Source organism: Homo sapiens, chromosome 11 (genome assembly GCF_000001405.40).
Source record: "Homo sapiens chromosome 11, GRCh38.p14 Primary Assembly".
In the NCBI taxonomy this organism is placed as follows: domain Eukaryota; kingdom Metazoa; phylum Chordata; class Mammalia; order Primates; family Hominidae; genus Homo; species Homo sapiens.
The window spans coordinates 103,992,351-104,016,293 of record NC_000011.10 but is presented as its reverse complement, the minus strand read 5'-3'; the positions used below and the strand labels follow the sequence as shown (position 1 = coordinate 104,016,293).

Below are 23,943 nucleotides of genomic sequence, written 5' to 3'. Positions count from 1 at the left end.
GGAGAGCAGCCAACACATTCAGGATGGCAGAACAGAAAGGTGGAAAAACCCATGACTACCATGCAAAGCCATGAATTAATCAAACCTGAAAGTATCTACCTCCTGACTTCCTGTGAGAGATGACACCTTTTCCTTATTGTCTCAGTCAATTTTAGTTTGGTCATCTGTAAAATTTGCAGCCAAAATTAGCTTTTATAAGACCAGCAGATTCATTAAGCATGTGATACTGTGCAAATAAAAAGACCTCTGCCTATGTGTAAAATTTCAGAGGGATTCATTCAACAAGTAGATTTTGAGAGCTTACTACTATTTAAAATTTATTAATTGTGAGAATGTGTTTCTGTTGGGGTTTTGGACTCTGTAGCACAAACATGAAATTGATAGTAAAAACCAGCTGTCATTCAATGTTGTTTCCACGTGAGCTCTTTATATGCATGAAGGGACTGTCTGTGTCTCTGTTTTTAACCAAAAATGAAAATAGAAATGGAAAATGGGTGAATGGCTAAATTGGACAACCATGCAAAACTCTCACATGATATTGTAACTTTGTGAAATATGCCATTCTGGAGTTCAGTGCATACTAATACTCTAGTGCTTTTTAATTTATTCAGTTTTCAACTTATTAAAACCCATTTCATTCAGTACATAGTTACTAGATCTAATGTAAAGACATATGTAGGCTAGAAAATCATGCTTTTGAATGTACTGTTTTCTTTAAGGATAAAGTTAAATAGATGATTTTCCTATGTGCACATTTGCTTTAAAATCATTTTTTGTATTCCAGATGCAAAGGTAATGCTGTGTTTATTTTTCTTTTTTCTTCTGAAATACCAAGAAAGATGACCTGTAGTTCTTCTTGCCTCTAAAATTGGTCTTTTTTCTCAGATTAATTTAAAATGTAGCTTCGTTCACACCTGAGACCCCTTGAGAATAAACAAAATCTGCATTTCTTTTTCAAGCAGTACCCTGTCAATCTAAGAAGAAAAGAGAATCTTGTTTCAATTGCTGGCTTCTCATAGCATGTCATTTGTAGCAATCTCACAGAAGATTACTAACTCTAGCTAAATTTGAAACTTAGATTTTTATTGAGTGTGCTTCAGAATAAAATCTAGTAAGATTTAAAAGCAAGTATTCTTGGTTTATGAATTAATTTTTTTAAGTAGCACATTAAGAGTTTGGAGGAAGCGATTCACCAGCAATATCTTTGAAGCCTTCAAATGACGGGAATAGTAAGTTCTATCTTTTCCTTTGCAAAAATAACAGCAACAGAGGAATTGAGAACTTGACCATTCTGCCTAGTGGGATCATACTTAGGATGAAAGCATGAATTTATTCACCATCTAAATGCAGCTCCTAATTCCCAACAGGCACTCTGTAAAATCTCAATAAATGCTGATAGAGTGAGGAATTACTTTGGGTCTTGTCCCAGAATATAACTTCAAATTTCTTTTCTGCTGATCATGTGAGAGACTATTTGATTATTATTAATATATGGGCTCCCAGGGAAGCCAGACAGATGCCAGTATATTGTTAGTCATTTTTTCCATAAAGCTCACCAATTTTGTAGCATAAACCACAGTAGACCTCGAAGATGCCTATTTGGCTTCACAAATTGGTTGCTTTTAGCAATGTAGGCACACACAATCCCATCTTTCTCAGGATGTATTAAATGCTAGTATGTATTATTCTTTATTAAAGGCTACTTCTAACTCATCTGAAAAAAAGATTCTAGATTACCGTAGGAGGTCCCACAAGAAAGCATGTTTATCTTTTGTTTGTTTGTTTGTTTGTCTGTTTGGAGAGAGGATCTCACTCTGTCATTCAAGCTAGAGTGCAGTGGTGTAGTCATAGCTCACTATAGCCTCAAACTCCTGAGCTTAAGCAGTCCTCCAGCCTCAGCTCCCCAAGTCACTGGTACTGCAGGTGCATGCCACCACACCCAGCTAATCTTTTTATTTTTAGTAGACATGGGGTCTCTCTGTGTTGCCCAGGCTAGTCTCGAACTCCTAGCCTAAGCTATCCTCCTGCCTTGGCCTCCCAAATATGCTGGGATTGCAGGCATAAGCAGACCAGTACAGGTCTTGTGGAATAGGCATGAAGGAAGCAAAAATGTAGAGAAACAGACATAGAATATTATTCAGTAGCTATATAAAGGGATGGCAAAAATGTTTCTGTCTCTATGTTTCTGGGCCCATGCGAGACATTGTTAATTTGTCATTTCCATTTTTTCTATTTAACATAGACACAGGCTCAGAATCCTTCTTAAGATGAATACTGGAGGTTACTGTCACTATCCTAATTTATCTACTGAATAAAACCTAGTTGCTATCTCTAGAAAGATAATGAATTCTGACAAAGATCAAGACCACTTACTCAAATGTATTTTTTGGTAGCTCAGCACCATTTTTCTTCCTCTGTAGTCATCAAATCTTTATGAATCTTCTGCTTGGAGATACATTTCTATCCTGACCATCTATTTTGCCACAATTGCAATGATTTATAATAATAACAATGAGATGTTATTCAGTGTATGGTTAGATCATGCTACCTATTGAAAAACAAAAAGACAAGTCAAGCCTGATGCTTTTATATATGGGAAGTAAGTATGCCATTGAAGTAGTCACTACTAAACTGTTCATCAGTTTGCAGTTCTTCTTTACTTTTCCAGGCATCCACTCTATTGGAAGTTAGGTCTGGCTAAGACAGAAGAGTTCCCTGGACCCCTTCACAGGACTTGCAACAGTCCTGTATGGCTCACTGACTGGCTGCTGCACTCAAACCCCTTGCAGGACAGGGAGCATGCAGGCGAGCGGGTGCCAGGCTGGGTTGAGTGCTTTTGGGCTCCAGCCACACAGTAGCATCTAGGGGTGTGTTACAATTAATGCTCTTTTAGTAGTTGCCATCCACGGATGGCTAAGCGTTAACCAGCTCAGTGGAGAGTCAGGATGACAGCCTTTTATACCCTGCCCTCTTGGTACCTGGGTTCTTGTCTGGTATGCAGGAGGAATCAGGTCACACAGACTTGAAGGATGGTGAATGTGGAGGTTTTATTGAGTGATGGAGCTGGCTCTCAGCAGGATGGGGAGCAGGAAAAGAGATGGATTGGGAAGATAATCTTCCCCTGGAGTTCTGCTGTCCCAGGCCAAGCTCCTCTCCACATTCAGACACTTCAACATTCAGACACTTGTTTTTTCTCCTTCTCTGCCATACTGCTCTGCTCCTCTGCCAGCGGAGTTTGGGGTTTTTATGGGTACAGGGTGGGGGACATAGTGGGCCAGGGTGGTTTCAGAAAGAGCAACATTTGGGTATGAAAACAGGGTTGTGAAGTTCTCATTTAGGGCCGCAGGCCCAGGCTTGAGGGTGAGGCCTTTGCAGGGGAAACGTGCTCTTCTACCCAGTATTTCCCTGCCTCTTGTCCATAACATGGCCATGTGGTTTTCTTAGGCCATTCTTCATCTCCTGGTTTCCCCTGCATAGCTCTAAATATTACAGTACTAAAAGTTCATTTTCCCAGATTTCGGAGTGAGAAAACATGAAGTGGAGCCCCACCAACCCAAAGTGGACATGTAGCATGAACAAAAAATAAACTTTAAAACCACTAAGATTTAGGCTAGTATAATCTGTCCTTTCCTAACTAATGCTACTCCACTGGAGTCACGTTAGGGAAGAGTCCATGGAGGAGACACAGTAGTCTACACAAAGATATTTGAAGAGATTTGTTAGCATGAGCTTTAACAAGAAAACAAAAAGCTTGTTTCATTCTAAAACACCATCCGTTGTATGACCTAGCATTGACTTAGTAATAGCTTTGGGGGAGAATAAAAGGTCTGCATTAAAAGCACACAGTATTCTTTTTAATAAAATGATAATAGCATGCATTTATCCAGAAAAGTATAATGTCTTTTATTATCTCAAAGTCCAAATCCAAGCCTTTTTTACATTGAATCACAGAAGTCTTTTAAATCACTTCGGTAATTCAGTATTCATACATAGCTTCAAAGTAACATGACCTTTTTCAGAACCAGTGTGTGTTATTATGATTTGATCAACAGTGCACTTTTAGGACTCCAGATAATTCCGAGAAATATCAAAGAATGCTAGGAATTCATCTGAATTTTCATTAATTGTATCATTTTCTGCTTATGTGGGTTAGGTATCACTAGATGTTAAGTAATTCTCTTGAAAGCCTCCAACTTTTGATAGGTAGCTATTTATCATCATCATAATGCGGGAATCATTTGCATTAATCTTTCATAGGTTTACTAATTATTTGGCCTATTCTGAGACATTTCATAATTTCTACTGCTTTTAATTGCATTTTCTGAGAGAGGCAGGAAATTTATTTCCTTGAGCATCAGTGACAAATCAAAATACAATTTTTACTTTAATACATCTTCCCAGCTTTGGTCCCATAAAGCACTTGAATATTTTTTTTTACCAGAGAATATGGATGTGATATTATTTCTTCATTTTTTTAGTATATTTACATTTTCATTTCTTTTTCCATACTCATTTATCTTCACAAACACTTTTAAAATTTTGATACTGCATCATAGTACAACCTTTATAAATGTTTTACAAGTGACAGCTATCCAAATACATTATAATTCATCCATATATTATGCTACCAAAGATAATATTTGAAGTTGAAATCAGATGAACAGTTATCTCCTACTCATGACTAAATTTATGCTTACAAAATCTATGAAAACTCTGTCCCAACTTGCTCCTCTTCCTGACAGCTGGACAGTTACATTTAACAGTAATCATAAGATAGTTCCCTATTTTAAAATGTTAACATGCGAAGAAATTACTTTGGAATGCAATGACTTTGGTATTGAAAAGTGATTTAATCCGTAAATAGCACTGAAGCCATACAATTTAATAAAAATTTATTTTAAGTATAATTATAAATATACATAATGTGTTCATTATGTGATATGTAACTAATGTACATATTAAATATAGTCATAAGTTTATATACATCACAAGTGATAAACCAAACTAACTCTCAGCTTTCTCCTGGGAATTTGTGAGCCCTTTAGTCAGAAGTGACTAAGAAAATGCTTTCATCTTTGTCTGTACAGACTAGCACTTTAAGCATTAGGATATTTTACGATCATTGCCTCTGATCCACACTGTTCAATTCCACATCAACTTTATTGGGTTGGTTACTTCTTAAAGTTACTCTGAGAAAATCCTCATTATTGACAATATTTATAAAAATATTGGTTTTTCTATAACAAATGTTCTCTAGAAAAAATGCTAAATCTTGTTACTCCTGGGTATGACTTTTCTATTTTCCCTCTTATCTTTCTGTGTTTCTGAGCTATGTTGGCAGTGGTTAAAGCAGATATTTTTGTCATTGTGGTTGTCTTATTATTTTCTGGGTGTTAAGTTAGTATTATGGAAAGGATCTCTCTATTCAGGAGCCTTAGATACTGTAATACTTTCTACCATGCCATTCAACATTTCCCTTCACCCTCACAGTTCTGAATTTTATTATTTCATTTTTTTCACATTCTTTACATGTAAGTGGCAATATCGCAACACAAACAGACTACCATAGAAGAAAAGAGAATTATCAGAGAATTAATTAATATGAATGTGATAAAATCTACCATGGTTATTTTGGGTCAATCTTTATCCAGATTCAAATATTCTAAAAATTAGACCAAAAGTCATTTCAGAAAGTTAAATTATTTCCATTTTAATATTTTACCATCATTTCTGTAATTACCTATAAAATACAAGCTATTTTGAAGGAAAGAATATGATCGCTCACTAATGTACAATAACAAAACAAATTTTTGTACATTAAAAGTTCTAGTGAGGTGAAGAATAATAATTATGAATATAATACTTTGGGCATTATTACACTCCTGTGAGTGTTTCTGGCAAGTATTCAAGAGGACTTTATGGTACTTTTTCATTTATTCTTTTTTGGTGGACTCAGATTCTTGAAGAAGAATAATTTTGAGTTCAGGGAATAATCAAGTGATTACAAAAAAACATTGTCTCCAAATTGTTACTGTGAGCATGGCTGTTTATGTAACATTAACATCTTTGTTTGTGCCAAAAAGAGCTCTAATGTTTAAAAAAAAAAAAAGATATGTAACTGGCAAACAACCATCTCCTTCCCCAAATCTTTATAAACAGAAAAGTTTTGTATTACTACTGAGATCTTAGAAAAATCTCTGCTGGAGAATTCTAAATAAATGTCTGATGTTTAATCAGCTTTGCTCTTGAGTTTCTTAATGGCAGGCCATAGACTGAGCACAGGTGGATGTTGTTTTTGGAAAGCTAATGTGAGCTATTGGAAGACTAATTCTCACTAGGAACATGTGTTAACCAAAAATTCCTTAGTGAAGACCGTCCTATTAATAGTCCCAGGAGGACTTCAGCTCATTGATTGCAAGCTTCAGTGCGTTAGCAAACACTAGGGGGAAAAAGCTGAAAAAGCTTCCGTGCTGATTTTTAAACTAACATTGTTAGAGTCTAATTTTCACCTTTATCAGTTCACATGGTGAGACTCCAACCCTGTACTTTTTAAGTTAGGAGATAATTTATGGAAAATTATCTAATTAAATTCAATTTAATCCAAGTTGCATATTTTAGGGTCTGTTGTACAAATTGACCTATTCATTTTTAAGTTAGGACTTCCTGCCCTAGTCTCTTTTCTATCTTCCATCTCTTTCATTTCTTTTTTGCTGCTTCAACAAAACACCGCACATTGTCTCATCAATTAAGGTACTGTTTTGCATCTTAGGACACTTTACTGTGTTTTGATTCTTTGAGGAAGAGTGCAGAAATTACTTGAGGTCATTGAGTAGTAATGATAATAATAATAATAATAATAATAATGCATTTGCAAGACACAGGACTGATTTTGATTCATTTTGCTGAGCTTGCCACTCTAAATTAAATGGTTGCATAGGATGAGAACCTATGGAATCTAGTCAGTCACCGATTTTGTATATTGCTTAATAAATCCAAGAGCAGCCCCCATATATAACAGCAAACTATTTTACTTTTGTTACAGCATTTTTCTTCTTTTCTTTCAGAGTCACAACTTCTTAAAGTATGGTAGGGCCTGGCTCTGGTGCTACTGGTAGGTTGTGAAATGGAAATAGGACAGAGTAAGTAGTCATTTCAGAATTAATATATAAACCAGATGTTAAGCAGGATCATTTAAATGCATCTCTTCCAAAAATAATCCCTTAATGTTCATGCTAAATGTGTTCTCACAAATATAGGGCCCTTGGCTACATTAATATGAATTTCTTAGAAGTGAAATATTTGGGGCATTTTACAATTTTATTTCTGATAAAATTGCCTTTTATTTGTTATCTTTAAATGTCTTTCAGGTTTGTATTAATAATTTGCATTATTATTATAATATGCATATATAATATGTACTATTTGTAGTTAACCATTCATCCATGTATGTTTTTTAAAAATATATTTTGAGTGCCTCATATGCCCAGACTGGCAATATACTGGGGTTACATTGATTAACAAGACATAGTCCTTTGCCTCAGGAGTTTAATTTTCTCCAATATGATTTATTTTTTACTTTCCTTTGAAACTTTAAAGAAATTATACAGCACTTTTGAGTATCTTCAGTTTTTATCTCTTCTACCTAGATAGACTCAGAAAGAAGTCTTTACTTAGTTTTAAAGGGAGCAAAAGATAGAATACATTGTTTCTACATTAAAACATTTATTTTAATTCCTTCGTAATGTTTTCAACACAAATTAGTGTGCTAAGTGGATAATTATGTGCCTGGGACACTTTTCTAGTTGAAAAGAAATAGAGATTTTTCCAAACAATATGTGTTTGAACAACTTGTATTCTTATTTCAGATGATGGCATACAACTATATATAATATCTATTATATCTAATGCTAATATAATAAAATGTTACATATAGTTAGCAAAAGTGTTTGACCACTTACCCATTGAAGATTTGAGATTTGAGATTTTATTTTCCGAGCATTGTTTAATCTTATCTATTACCCATAGTCCAACCACTGGTATTTCTGTCCCCTTGGAAGAAAACTATTGAGGTGTCATGTCATTTTGTACCTGAAAGGAATCTGCCACATTATTCAGCCCCCTAATGTATCAGGTTGAGAAACAGAAGCCAGAGGGATGACATGGTGTGAATAATGCTGCTGTTTGTAATATAGGGGAAGAGTTACTAGGACTTGAAAGAGGTAGAGCTGACTTTAAGACTCAGCTCTTAAATATGGAAAGCTTCCATTCTTTGGGCTTGCAACAAATCACTTCTCTCTGTTGCTTTTGTTACCTGTTAAAGTAACAACAAAACAATTATTATAAAAAACAGAATGAAAGTATAATATTTGCTTCCTATTTTGTCAACTTATTTCTATGATGGACTTGCAAAATGGGTGTTTATAAACTATACTGCATCCCACACAAATTTAGGTTACTGTGGTTGTTTAGCAACAGAAGTGGGACTATATAGTTTACATATCATTCAACTACATTCTGGGCAAACATTACTGCTATGACATATTATAGGATCATGAAACAGCACTTTTATTAATGATATTTTGTTAAAAAGATCTTTTTGTAAGTTTGGAATTTCCTGATTCTTGATTGCTTTTGGCTTGTAGCTGAAAAGGGTTTGTCACTATCAGTCATGCTATTGGTTCCTGGCTGTCTTATGGGGACAAGAGAAAAAGGGCATGTCTGTAGTGTTCCACTGAGTTTGTGTGAGATGGCACAGCCTGCAACTATATCACTGTTTGATCAAATATTTTAATTTTTACTTCAACAACTATTTTCCTTTTGCATCTTATGTTGTCATGTATAATATTATGATATGAGAAGAAAAACATTACCATTATTCATAGTTTCATTTCTCCTTAAGCATTATTATATATGATGATGGATTATCACATACATTTATTGGGGCCAGGGGTGACTTCTTCATGAATGGGGAAAGCTGGATAAGGGGTGAGACTGTCAAAGGCAGTCAAAGACACCAAGGTGTGTAGCCTCTTGCTCTAGTCATTGTATACTGGAAATGACATCCTAGAGGAGGTTCCAAGGTCGGAAATAGAAAAGTGAGCCCAAGACAGTAAAACGGGATACTTCCCTGATCCCCCGCATAGGACTTGCGACAGGCATGTGGCTCCTCTTGTTTAGCTGTCATGCACACTCAAACCCCTTACAGGAGGGGGAGCACGCAGATGAGACCCCTGGGGTCCACTCCCATAGCAACATCCAGGAGTGGGTATCTGCAACTCCCAAAGCCCAAATGGGCACGTGATACAGTGTGCACTTTTAGCCTTGCTGTCCACAGACAGCTTAAGTATTAACCAGCTCCATGCCCTCTTGGTACCCAGGTCCTTGTCTGGCATCCAGGAAGAATCAGGTTCCACATGGACTTGAAGGATGAATGTGGGGGTTTTATTGAATGGTGGAGGCGGCTCTCACCAGGATGGATAGGGAGCTGGAAGGGGGATGGAGTGGGAATATACTCTTCCCTGGAGTTTGGCTGTCCAGCAGCAGGTCTCCTCTCTAGCCGCCCCCAGCTGAACTCCTCTTGATATTCAGATGCTCCTTCTCTTCTCTCTGCCACGCTGTTCGTCCATTCTTCTGCACTTCTGTTCGTCTCCTCCTCATCTGCTTCTGGAGCCTGGGGTCTGGAGTTATTATGGGTACAGGATAGGGTGGCATGGCAGACCCAAAGGCAACTTTTGGGAACAAAAACAGGAATGCCTGTTCCCATTTAGGGCTGTGGATTTCCAGGCTTGAGAGTGGGGCCTTTGCCGGGGAACTACCCTCTTCTACCCAGTATTTCTCTGACTCCTGTCCATATCAACAGGTTGTCAGTCAAGGACACAAAATGAAAAACCAGACTTGAGTTACAGAGTCAAAGCAAAGAGGTGGCAGGAAAGTAGGAATAAGAAGCAAAATAGAAATCATGATATGGTCAGTGGTTCTCAAACCTTAGGGTGCATCAGAATCACCTTGGAGACTTATTAATATGTATAGTGCTTGGTTCCGTGCCCAGCATTTCTGCTTCTGTAGGTCTGGAGTAGGACCTGAGAATTTACATTCCTAACAGACTCCTAGGTGATGTTAATAATGATGCTCTGGGGACCACATATAGCAAACCATTGGTCTAGATGGATTTCAGGGATAAGTAATAGTGCCTACAGTGACTTTCATGAGCTCCTGGGGTACTTGGTTGGGTGAGCTGAGTTTGCTGAACAATTGGGAATAAAATAGACAATTATATAACATTTTGGCTTTTTAAAAATTTTAATTGCCTTTTTTAAGTCAAATGCGTACCTCAGAGTTTATGAGGATGTGAACATCTTTCTGTGTTAAAATGCAAAATAAAACTATGTCATTGTTATATAAACATACATAAAAATTATTTCCTCTCTGTGAAAAGTGATTGTTTTCCTATTTTTGTAGTTTAACAGCTAGTACAGTGCTCTGGTTAAGCATGTGTGCTCTGAAAGTAGTAGACTGCCTAAGGTCATATCTTGATTCCACCACAAGCTTTGTGCCTGAGGTCACAAGTTTCTTAAATTTTCAGAACTTCCTTTGTAAAGTGGGGATAATACCAATGGCATGGGGTTGTTGTGAGGATTAAATGAAGTAATGGCTTTAAACCACTTATTGGAGTACCTGGCAATAGTTGCTCCAGAAATGTTAGCTGTTATTGGAACACCAAAGTAAATACCTTTGTTTAGGAATGTGACTTTGTGTATAATACTTTGGTACTTATCTCGGGTTTAACCTGAGAGGTTGTTCTTTGTATCTATAATTCATTACAACTCTTCTGCTAAGAATAGCCCTGAGTTGGCATTAAGTTAAATTATATGTAAACAGTGTGACTTAGAAGTGGATTACACAATTACCCGTAGCAAAGAATCTAAAATTGCCTCAAGCAGATTTCAGACTAAGAAGGAAGAACACTTTCTATAGTACAGTGGTTAGAAGCATCTACTCTGGAACCAGATAGCCTGGTTTGTATTCTAACTCTACCTTTCACTAGCTCTGTGACCTTGAGCAAGATACTAGACCTCTCTCTTCCCCAGAATTTTCATCTGTCAAATGGTGGTAATGACTTGGGCACAGTGGCTCACGCCTGTAATCCCAGCACTTTAGGAGGCCAAGGTGGGCAGATCACTTGAGGTCAGGCGTTCAAGACCAGCCTGGCCAACATGGTGAAGCCCTGTCTCTATTAAAAATACAAAAATTAGCTGGGCATGGTGGTGCGTGCCTATAATCCCAGCTACTCGGGAGGCTGAGGCAGGAGACTTGCTTGAACCCGGGAGGCGGAGGTTGCAGTGTGCCAAGATCATACCACTGCACTCCAGCCTGGGTGACATAATGAGACACTGTCTCAAAAAAAAAAAAAAAAAAAAAAAAGGTGGTAATAATACCTATCTCAAAGTCGTTATAAATATATATGGACATGCATACACACACAAGAGATCATCTGTATAAAGTGATTAGACCCTACAAATGAAGTATGCAAATTGCTTAGAACAATGCCAGGCACAAAATAAGCATAATTAGCAGTGTTTGCTGTTGTGCATATTTTGTTTGTTCAGGTGTATTTTTTGGCAGAATTTTTTAAGGAAAAATAAATCTGAAATATTGTTATTTTTCCCCTGTAGTTCAAAATACTGCAGCATAGGTCTCTGACAAATTTGTGAAATTGAAAACGAATATAGTCATCCCTCAGTATTAATGAGGTATTGATTCCAGAACCCCTTCCCGCTCCACATACCACAAGGATACCAAAACCCATTATATAAAATGATGTACTGTTTGCATATAATCTATGCACATCCTCTTCTATATTTTGAAATCACCTCTAGAAACAGTATAAATGCTATGTAAACAGTTGTTATACTGTATTGTTTAGGGAATAATGCCAAGAAAAAAAGTCTGTATGTGTTCAGCACAGACACAAGCATCCTGTTTTTAATAAATATTTTCAATTTGATGTTGATGAATCCATGAATGTGGAACCCATGGATATGGAGGGCTGACTGTACTGTCTTAATCAAACTACATAAGAAGGAAAGCCCCTCTCCCCACCCCTTCTACAGGTTCATAAAAATGTAATTGGCATTCATTTATAACCAGAGTTAATACCTTTAAGACAGTGTAGACTTTAATGATGTTTTAGAAAAAAGAGTCCCCTTTTATACTTAGAAAAGTTCTAAAAGTGTACTTTGAAAGGATATCATTGACTTTGTTATTACCAAGTTCTGTGGTCTTTTCTCCGTCTATTGTCCCCTGGTCTTGTTTTGCATGTGACTTTATTGACCACTCTGTCCTTGAAATTGTCCCTTTTCTGGGCAGCCTGACTTACACACAGCTTCCTTCCCAGCCATTGCTCCAGGTGGGCACTCCTTCTGTCATCTGCCACTCCCAGGGCATGTCTGCCAGCACCAAGCTTCACCTTCCCTTCTCAGGACACTTCTTGAGAGGGATCACTGATTCCCAAGGCCTCCTCTCCCCTCTCTAAGCTGAGGCCTTGTGTCTAATCTGTTCTCTCAGCTAGCTCTGTAACCCCAAAGCCTGCTAAGTTTCCACTTGAATTACTCATCACCACTTCAAAACCAAACTTACATTCCTCTAAAAATGTTTCCCCTGGCAGCATCCTTGAGTATCAATAATACCACACTGAGCCCAGGCTCTAGGCTTAGCATGCTGCTGCTACCTCTAACCAATACTTTTACATTCCTTTCTATTTTTCCCCCAAAGTGGCATCACTGCCACCTGCCCTTCCAGAATAGGACCTTGTTACCCTCACCTCTAGTTCCTAGGAGACCTTGATGCTCCAGGCATTTTCCCTCCAGTTTGTCTACTGTATCACCAACAGGCTAATCTTCCTTTTAACAAACTATTCACCCACACCAGGGCTGATCTGTTTGTACCCATATCAAGTGGAGATATTTCTGCCTGGCTTTCAAATATTTCCATAGTTCCTTTAAAGCTTCTAGCCTCTTATGTCTCACTTGGGCTCTGTTCTGGGCAGGCCTCTTGCAAGGATCATATGTACACATTCTCCACATTAGCCCTTGCTGCTCACCTGGCCTTTGAGCAACCACAGCATTTACACTCAGCACTTAATATTCCCTTTTGCCTGTTTACATTTGTGCAGTATGCATCAACTTTTTTTTCCAAGTGTACGAAGACAAGAACCATTCTTTAAACATTTTTAAATTCTATCCAGATCTAACATAGCATCTGAAACTGTAAAGAAAGAATATATAATACCCATGAAAAAGACCAAAGAGAAAATGTGATGCTCAATTCACTTATACAAATGAGGAATCTGAATACCTGAGATAGATATTTTAAAATTTAATAGTAATATATTTAGACTCATGGTTACCTTCTATTCATGGCAAATGATGGCTGCTTGCCATTTACATTATTGGCATAAAGTTTTATTTTAGAATAAATTTGCTTTTGATTAAAATATTAATTTAGAGAGAAACTAATAAATAATTAATAGCACTAGAGGCACAAAAATGTGGCAAAAATTGTAAGGGTAATACTCAAGTGATAGAAGTCTTGAAAATACTATAATACAATATGGTTAATCTATGCTTAATACATAATTGTTGACTGACTAATAGCTCAAATCAGTCAACCTAGAAAACAGTGTTCAGACCTGTGTTAGTCATTTTTCACACTGTTATAAAGAACTACCTGAGACTGGGTAATTTATTAAGAACAGAGGTTTAATTGGCTCACAGTTCCATATGGCATAGGAGCCCTTGGGAAACTTACAATCATAGCAGAAGGTGAAGGGGAAGCAAGGCACCTTTTACATGGCAGCAGGAGGCAGGGGTTGCAGGGGACCGCCACACTTTTAAGCCATCAGATTTCATGAGAACTCACTCATTATCACGAGAACAGCATGGGGGAACCACCCCATGATCTAGTCATCTCCCACCAGGTCCCTCCCCTGACATGTGAGGATTACAATTAGAGATGAGATTTGGGTGGGGACACAGAGCCAAACCATATCAAGACCCATTGCCTAAAAGCCCCTTATGACAAAATGAGCAGACACCAGTTTTCGCAGCTGATCTTTAAGCATAAGATCAAGGGAAGGGAAAAGACTCAACGAGCAGAAATGATTTTCGTCTCCTAGGAAGTTGTCTGCTTGCTGTCCTTGTTGGAAGTGCTGCCATGACTGCAGGCCACTGCCTTCATCTGGAGGCAGGGAGTGGGGACATCCCTCAACTACCCGTTGCTTTTCCTACGACTCTGTCTCCCACACAAAGTCTAGCTGAACAAGCTGCAACACATTAACATTAAATGAGTCCAAAAAAAGTTTAAATTCCCATATGCAAAATCACTTGCAAAAGAGACTTTTGTACTTCACATGCCAATTCTTATCCTCTTTGTCTTATTTTTGGAAGCTCTAACAGCCACCCTCAGAAACCCTACCTTACAGTGGTTTCCACCAGCAAGCATAGCTTCCCTGACCAGGCTCACTGAATTATAGTCCTCAAAGTAAACTCTCTGCAGGATAACATAAATAGACTGTGGCTGGAGGTCTGTTTATGGTGGGGCCTAAAAAGCCAAAATCCAAAATGCAATGAACTCTGAATATTGAGAGAGATGAAAAGGGGATCCACTGTATGATGCAATTCTGATGAAAACTACCGGGAGTTAGGCCAAATTCCACAGGTTAAAATTACAAGCACCACAATATGGTACTCACTTCAGACATCAGCTGCAAGTTTGGGGGACCCCAGCTCACTTGCACTTCTGACCAATTGGTTATAAATTTGGGAGTCCCTATAAACCCCCAGGTTTGATATTTGCTAGAACAACTCACAGAAATCAGAAAAGCACTGTACTTAAAATTAAAGTCCTCCTATAAAGGATATAAATTAGGACCAGCTAAATAAAGAAGCACATAGGGTAAGGTCTGAGAGGGTCTCAAGCATGAAGCTTCTGTGTCCTCGGGACACATCAGCCTGCTAGTACATCAATGTGTATCCCCACCTGGGAAACTCACCCAAGTCTTGGTGTCTAGAGTTTTCACTGGAGTTTCATTATGCAGTCATGATTGATGGAATCATTATCAACATGAGTGGACTCAATCTTCAATCCGTCTTTCATCCCCAGAGGTTGGGAGAGAGATCAGGTTGAATGTCATAATGGCTCCAAACCCTAACCCTTAATCACATGGTTGGTCTATCTGGCATGGCCGACCCCCATCCTAAAGTTATCTGTGGGCCCACAGTGAGTCACTTCATTAGCATAAATTCAGACGTGGTCCCGGGGGCCATATCATGAATAACAAAAATATTTCTATGACGTGAGAAATTCCAAGGGTTTGGAAACTCTCTTCCAAGAACCCAGTACAAAAACCAGATAAATTCTTTTTATCTGGCTAACAGCATAGAGAAAATACAGTAAGAATTGGACCTATTTTAACTCATAGAAAACCCAAGACACAAAATTATGATTTTTCGTGGTGGAAGGATGGATGAAATTATTTGCTGATTCTAATCCATACTAAATGAACTGAAGTTCTGAGATTGTTGTTAGTCTTTGCTTGTCAAGAATGATATTAAGAGAACTCCCAAAGTACAAAGTTAGACAGACATCAAGGGTGGATTTGTGAAGAATTTAGGGAGGTGGGGGATACTAGAAGAAAGATGTGTTGTTTGTTTAATAGAAGGCAGAAGGTTACCCATCGGAGAATATCAATTGAATACAAAATAAAGGGTCATTAAACATCACTAGAGTCTTTTCTTTTGTTTTTCACTCATTCATTCACTCAGCAGTCTTTATTGAGTATCTCAGATGCTAGTCACTGGACATAGATTGCTACGCCATCAGTGTGAGAAAAAAAGTTTGTTTATTTGCATTTAGACTTAATGTTTTTAGGCAAAATAAAGAAGTGTTTTGAAGTATGATGTGTTGTAAACTGTTCTCTTTTTTTGACTTTCCTGTAATTGGAGCAACATACTAATTTCTACAAGTTGTGACTACTAACAGAGAGCAATCACCTCACAGACTTGTACCGAAGAGATGAGACCATCCAGGTGAAAGGAAACGGCTACGTGCAGAGTCCTAGATTCCCGAACAGCTACCCCAGGAACCTGCTCCTGACATGGCGGCTTCACTCTCAGGAGAATACACGGATACAGCTAGTGTTTGACAATCAGTTTGGATTAGAGGAAGCAGAAAATGATATCTGTAGGTAAGTTGGGAAAAAAATTTTTACGGTACTATTTCAAGGTGAAAAAAGAAAAAGATGAATTTAAAGCATCGTATCAAACATTCCTTTTGAGCCTTTTAAATGGACCCAACATGTGTCGCTTCTTTTTCAAAAAGCCTAAAGACCCTAACAGACAAGATAGCGTAGACTGCTGAGGCAGAGAGCCGAATAACCTGGCAGTACTCACAGAAACTCACTTGTGCAACTGTCAGGACTGTGTGACCTCCAAAGAAGGGTGAAATCTGGAGGTCCTCTCCTTTTCCAGGCACAGAGCAGCATTTATGCACAGGTATCCAGCATCCCAGGTTACGGGCAGCTGCATCATGTGTGGTCAAAGCCTGCCATGGGCTTAGGGAGCATAAACCCCTGCCCGGCTCCCGCTGACCCAGGCCTTCCTACCCATAATGAATTACGCCAGCACTGGGAGATGATGGTTGGGGAAGCTATCAGGGCCTGACCCCGAATTCATAGTGTTAAGGCCTCAGATACGGGTGGGAAGGAAGAGAAAGCTCACCCCAGATTCCCTGTGCTCCTCAGAAGGGTCTGTTTCTTGCAGTTTCTGGGTCACAAGTAGAAGATGAAAGCTGTGTCTGATAATCTTCTCTCTTCTTAGCATATTTATCAAAGAAAGCCTGGACTGTTGTTCTTTGAATGTCCGCTCACAGCATTTTACTCGCTTAATTAGCATGTATAAGACTTGAGGAAGATTTTTTTTTTCTTTTTTGTACTTTACTGCACACACTTGTTCTGCATTGCCAATGAACTACTGAACTGCTAAATCCTTTCAGCGGGTTTATTTTCCTTTGAATAATAAAAAGAGGGGCCTCAAATTTGGTTGTCCTCTGTTGCATGTTTATTATGCTGACAGCTTTTATTATGTTGCTATTTTGCTGAGAATAACAGCACTGACTATTACTTTCTAGGACCATAGAGGGTAATGTATGCCAGAAAGCAGAGATGAATACATTAAGGAAGAGCCAGTTAATATTTACAAAGAGAATAAACTAATGCTGATCTTGCGTCTTTTCCATCTCAAAAAAAAAGAACTAATATTCTGTGCCTAAAAAATCATGGGAAAAAGACGCTATTAAAAGATTATTAAAGGTGATGATGTGGAGGGTACCATGATCTGTTTCTGCCCATAGAACACTTCCAATACCAAATCTGTGAGGTGAGGGTTTTTTCCCACAGCAGTTAATCCTCCAACACCAGCTTGTTTTGTCCTATTCAATTCAATTCAGACACTACCTGGAATCAGTGTCAGATCCCACAAGTTAAGGCTCAGTCCCACAAGACTGCCTCCATGTTCTATGTCAGTTGCAGCTTCCAAGCCTCTCCTACTTCTGATCAACCAGCTGTAAATAGGGGTTCCATAACCCTCTTCTTGGGTTGAATAATTTGCCAGAACAGCTCACAAAACTCAAGGAAACAGTTTCCTTGCTATTACCAGTTTATTATAGAGGATGCAACTGAGGAACAGCCAAGTGAAAGAGATACATAGGCAAGATGTATGGAAAGAGTGCTTTCTCTGGGTTTGCAACCTTCGAAACACCTGGATGTATTCACCAGCCTAGAAGAGTATTGATGGAAGTCTCATTGTGAAGGCACGATTAATTAAATCATTGGTGATTGAACTCCATCTCCAGGCCCTCTCCCTCCCCAGAGGTCTAGGGGTGGAGCCAAAATTTACAACTCTCTAATCATGTCTTGTTCTTTCTGGTGATGAGCCTCCATTCTGAAGCTACCTCGGGGCCTCCCAACAGGTACTTCCAAAAGGCAATGAATTTATTCATTAGGATAAATTCTGGTATGGTTGGAAGGGGGCTTATTATGAATAAAAAAAGATGCTCCTCTAACCCCAGCACTCAGAAATTCCAAGAGTTTTAGGAGCCTGTGCCAGGAACAAAGACCAAATATATATATTTCTTATTATTACAATATCACAGAAGGGAAGCCAGGTCTCCACTACTGAGCTGGAGTTTTGATCCTAGCAGTGAGTCCTTTTGACATCCTGGCCTTGAAATTAAGGGAGGAACAGTGAGGATGGTTTCCTTTCTGAACCATTAATCAAATCTAGTTGCTCCTCAAAATTTATGGAAGGAAGTAGAAGTATAGCAGGTAGAAAAGAGGAGAGAAAGACGGGAAAGAGACAGACCAGAGACTTGTCTCAGAACCCTCCCTAAGAGATAAAACAGCCCTCTCTTGACTTCAGGTTCAGAGTTAAAGTTACAATGATGTGTTCTTTAAACAAAAGTGACCTATGGTGTTATTAAAAGTTTCAATTATAGTCATGCTTTGTGCAGTAAATATGATTTACATGTATTGTATACAAAATGAAATGGAATTGATTTCCTACCATCTGTTCCAAAGCCTCCTTGATGTTTACATTGTAATATTTTGTTGCTTGCATAATGATACTTTGTTAGTGCTTTTTACCTTCCAAGCACCATATAAACATTAAGTGATTAATTTACACAGCACCCAAGAGATATGGAGCTGGTAAAATTATATAAGCCTTCTTATTTTATCCATAAGGAAACTGAGGCAACGGACATAAGGGCCTTGTAAATCACTGTTAGAGAAATTTAGTCACAATATCATTATTTTTTACTTTCTTTTTACATTACCTTGCCCAATCCAGTAGAGCTCTGAGGTGCATGAGTAAGACCAGGAAGGCCATATTGGTTTCTCTATGTATTCAGAAATAATGTTTCTTATGATGATTCCTTCTGATGATTGTAACAGAAAACTGTAATATGGATGTGAGATTTCTGCCACTGTTCACCCTGAATGCCCATCATTTGCCTGTGACCTCAGCATCTGAAGTCACTGTGGAAAAGTAGATTGTAGGAGCGAGATACTGATGACCAAAACTGAAAGAAATAGTTCAGCTTATCAAGTAGAAGGTTCCAACATCTTAGGGAGCTGAAAATAGAATAAGTGCTCCCTAGAAGATGTAAACTATGTTACTGAGGATCTCCTACTATGTGATAGAATGATGGAACACTCTGGAGGTGCTTTGAAGACCAAATGCCCACAAGGATAACTAAAGCAGCTTTTGCTGTCTTCTTGAATCCCAGGATTCTAGTTTCTCCGACCAATGCCAGAGGTGAACTTATGGTCTTAAGCTCATTCACACCCTGGTTTAACCAGCTCAGATTTTTCCAATATTGGTTAGCACACATCTCTCCTTAAAGTTACATGCTTTCCTTCATGATAAGTTTCATATTTTATGACGTGATCATTCCAAAAGATCGTTTCCAAAAAGAGAATATAGCAAGTCGTGTGTATTCATTTATTTTCTGTAATGGCATTACTGATTTTGTAAGCTATATAGATATAGGTCATTTACTTTCTCAAGAAAGCACCGAATGCAGTAAATTAATTCAGAGTGGGTATTTGTTTTAAAAACTTTATATAGTTAATATTTGGGCCTATAACTAGAGTTACATCTCCTAAAATATGCCAGCAATTACAGATATTAGTTTTTCCAAGAAAACTTTCTAAAACCAGATGCTCAGAAAGTGACCCATTTTGATTATTGAAGATTTAGGAACAGTCATGACTAAATGTATGTAAAGGTTTTCTCAGAATAGATTACTGAAGCTTGAATTTGCAAACCTAATCCAAAAACCAGTTTTCCTTTTAACATTTCTGTACATTATAATTTTCATTTCAGATTGTGGTCATGACAAATCATATATGCTAGTTTTAATTTCTCAGTGAAAGTATGAATTTCAAAATCTACTTTAATCAAAACTTGTTCATTATGTCCAATTGATTCTAGGTATGATTTTGTGGAAGTTGAAGATATATCCGAAACCAGTACCATTATTAGAGGACGATGGTGTGGACACAAGGAAGTTCCTCCAAGGATAAAATCAAGAACGAACCAAATTAAAATCACATTCAAGTCCGATGACTACTTTGTGGCTAAACCTGGATTCAAGATTTATTATTCTTTGCTGGTGAGTACTTAACCACTTTATGATTAAAAGCAGACACTGGTTTCATGAAGTGTAGAGATCAATTTTCTATGATCAAATTCAGTGAGGGTGAGTGAACTTTATTAGTTCCTTATAACATGGTTTGTTCCTACCTTATGGTCAAAATGTTAAAATCCTTCTTAGTAAGAAATACCATTTTGGATCTATTAAGTCAACCTTTGTGCCATGCATTTTGAAAGAGATCATAGTACATAGAAAAAGGGAAATCTTTAAGGTAAAGCTGATACTAAATTGCCTTTTGATTCAACTGATGCAAGGTAAACATACAGCCAAATAGAAGGTATGTGAGAGTTAAACAGGTTTTCAGAATTAAAGCTAAAGAAAATAATTTCCTCTTTTAGTTTGAAAATTTGTGTATAAGTTCTATCACAGAAGAAAGTCCTGATGATTATAATTTCAATTATGACCCAGATTTGGGAAGGGTCTGTGTTATAATCATAGAGCCTCAGGGCTCATAAGCATCTGCAAAATCAAAAGGTCCAATAGAGGACCCAAGAGTATGAATCCTGTTTGCTACACTCATGCTTATTTGTAGCCTTTTCTCTACTTAAACACCTCAGCAGCCATTCTCAACTGTAAATGGTTCTGACTGATAGAAAATGTTCAACCTTATAATGAGCCAAAATCTACATTGTAGTTAATTTTAGTCGTTGGGTCACACACAGTCATGGGTCACACACAATCTTTACTCATTCATACATTAATAAAACAATAGTAAGTTCCTGTTCTTTGTCAGGCACTCTGGTAGATGTAGTAGATACAAAGGTAAGCAGAACAGACAGGGTCCTTGAACCGTCTGGAGCTTAAAGTCGGGTAGAGATGCCAAAAACTAAAAAGCAGCAACAGGCCAGGTGTGGTGGCTCATGCCTGTAATCCCAACACTTTGGGAAGCTGAGTTGGGAGGATCTCTTGAAGCCAGGAACTCGAGACCAGCCTGGGCAACAAAGCAAGACCCTATCTCTACAAAAAAAATTTAAAAATTTGCTTGGTTTAGTGGTGTGTGCTTACAGTCCCAGCTACTGGGGAAGCTGAGGCAGGAGAATTGTTGAGCCCAGGAGTTTGAAGCTACAGTGAACCATGACTACACTACTGCAGTCTAGCCTGGGTAACAAAGCAAGACCCTGTCTCAAAAAAAAAAAAAAAAGGAATAGCAACAACTGAGAATGATGCATAACAAGACACAATAACTGAGTGCTGTACGTTAGGCCCACAGAGACATTTGGATAATTTTGTCTATACATTAACATAAATATCCCAGAATCCTTCAGTTGTTTGTAGCATATTGCCTTTTAGGATCAATTTTCACTTTCTTTCGGTTTGTCTCTGTCCCTTTACCAAGTGTGAATGCCAAAATAGAACACAGTACTATAAATGGCATCAATTTATTTTTTTATTTTTTATCTTAAGAATTAAAGTTTCAGAAAAGAAAAAAAAACTTGCTTTTTAAAAAATCTAATTGGTTTTCTTTGCATTATGGTGAATTATTAAACACTAAGTGAATTCTACATCAGAACATTGTAAATGAAAAAATAACATGCGGTAACACTGGTTCCAGTTTTAATGTGAAAATAATCCATCAAGCATGATTTACATTATTGCAAACTCATGCAGTTCTGCTAAGTATTAAAATTGAAGTGTGAACCTTTGGTTTCTACATTTATTTGCCTTTTAATGTGTTCAGTGATGCATCTGTTCTCAATTATTCATGGATGGAGCAGGCTTGGCATGTGAGAATGGTGATGGATAGGCTTAGAGAAGAATTATTTTTTGCCTTAAAATACCAAGCACTATTAGTGCTAATGTTTTGTTATGAGTAAGCTGAATGTTCCATAAGTCAGTTGGAAACACCATAACTACAACATAATGTCTTTAAGGCAAAATAACCACTTTTGTAAAAAGCAGTAGGAATACAGTTTTAAGGGAGAATGGATACTTTTGTTTGATGTGTTTTGGGTTATGGTGCAGTCTCATAACTCATTTCTTGGTCAATTTTAAGTGGAATATTGGGCTGCCTCTATAGTTTGGATGTAAACTGTTTGGCATCACTCTCCTGGCTTATTTACCTCCACCAGTATATTCAATTTTGTGTTTTTTTTTTGAAATGATGATATTACAACATTCTTGTGTATTTTTCTACTGGTCTGTTGGTCTGTGTCCATTGAGAATAGCTACAGACTCTTTTGCCTCCTAATAGGCTTCTGGCCTTAAATATGGCCCACTAAAGCCAAAGTATTTTGACAAACAAATTTTAAGAGATAGAATGAGCTTAACCTCCAGGTATGTAGAGACTCTAGATCATGTGGCTTTTTGACAAAACTCTTCTGTTTGATTCTTGGCTCAGCAGGGATAGATCACATATGGTTTGACCACTGTACTGGGAAGATCACTTTATTCATGTTTAAATTTTACTTGGAGAGGCTTTAAAGCAGGGTTTATAAACTTAAGAGACCAGGCTTGAAACTGGAAGTAGGCCAGGTGTAAATTAATAGGGAGATAGTGGGATTAAAAATGGCAATCCCTCTTCAAGTGTGTTTAAATAATAAATTTTAGAATGCTAAACACATTTAGGAGCTAGAGTCAGCTGTTTTGCAACCCCTACTTTAAGGAATACTAGATGCAAGAAAAATATGAGCCTTAAGATTAGTTCGTGGCCGAGTGTGGTGGCTAAGGCCTATAATCCCAGCATTTTGGGAGGCCGAGGCAGGAGGACCCCTTGAGCCCAGAAGTTTAAGTCCAGCCTGGGCAACATAGTGGGACCCTGTCTCTACAAAAAGTGAAAAACAAAACAAAACAAAACAGGCATGATGGCACATGCCTGTAACCTCACCTACTCCAGAGGCTGAAGCTGGAGGACTGTGTGAGCCCAGAAGGTCAAGGCTGCAGTGAGCAGTGATGCCACCACTGCACTCCTGCCTGTGTCAGAGTGAGACCCTGTCTAAAAACAAACAAACAAACAAACAAACAAACAAAAACAGCACACGAGAAGTCAAGGTGCTCTTGGAAAATGAAGAGTAGCTGTTAGGATAGATCATAGGTCAAGTTCACCTCCCTTCTCATATCTACCTCTCTACCTGCATACCTCCCATGGAACATCTCTGCTCTTCCTGCCTCAGTGACTCTCCAGGTGTACCTGGACATTTCCTAAAGCTACAAGTAGTAGGTATCCAGGACTGCAAGAGCCTATTACACTGGAATCACATCTACATGGTTCATGCTCATAATGTTTTTGGAAAAGTGCAATGTACATTTTTAGTCGGTTTTTTACTCTAGCAAACTGTGGAGACTAATGGATAACATCAAGATAACTTATTTTTGGTTGGGATTGATGCTTATATCACAGTTTTTGATGTGTGGAATTCAACCTTCTACCTTCTTTTAGCACCTGTCACAGTGCCCACCCAGGGCATGGCAGCATAGCCATATGGGACCAGTGCCTTACCATAAAGCATACCTTAGATTGAAGGCAGGATTCACCCATTAGGAATGGTGCAATATTAAACAGCTTTCTTATCCTTTGCTTTTACATCTTTTAAATGGGAGTAATAATTGGAATTGGTATAAAATTTTAAAATGATAATTACTTAGCACAATGCATAGGATGTATTAAGTGTTCAATAAATGATGACAATAATTCTACCTTTTACCATCACAAATTATGTATATATCTGTCTCCTC

At 37.9% G+C, this 23,943-nt stretch overlaps 1 protein-coding gene across 2 annotated transcripts in view; it reads left to right on the top strand.

Annotated features, from left to right (window-relative positions):
- PDGFD (platelet derived growth factor D) overlaps positions 1-23,943 on the top strand; it is a 256,959-nt gene that overhangs the window by 147,854 nt on the left and 85,162 nt on the right. Inside the window, exons 2-3 of one of the 2 annotated variants that reach the window (NM_033135.4) lie at positions 16,057-16,243; positions 20,049-20,229. In NM_033135.4, the coding sequence (NP_149126.1) occupies positions 16,057-16,243; positions 20,049-20,229 (368 nt within the window). Of the gene's footprint in view, positions 1-16,038; positions 16,244-20,048; positions 20,230-23,943 lie in introns of both variants that reach the window. The other variant, NM_025208.5, reaches the window with a different exon arrangement.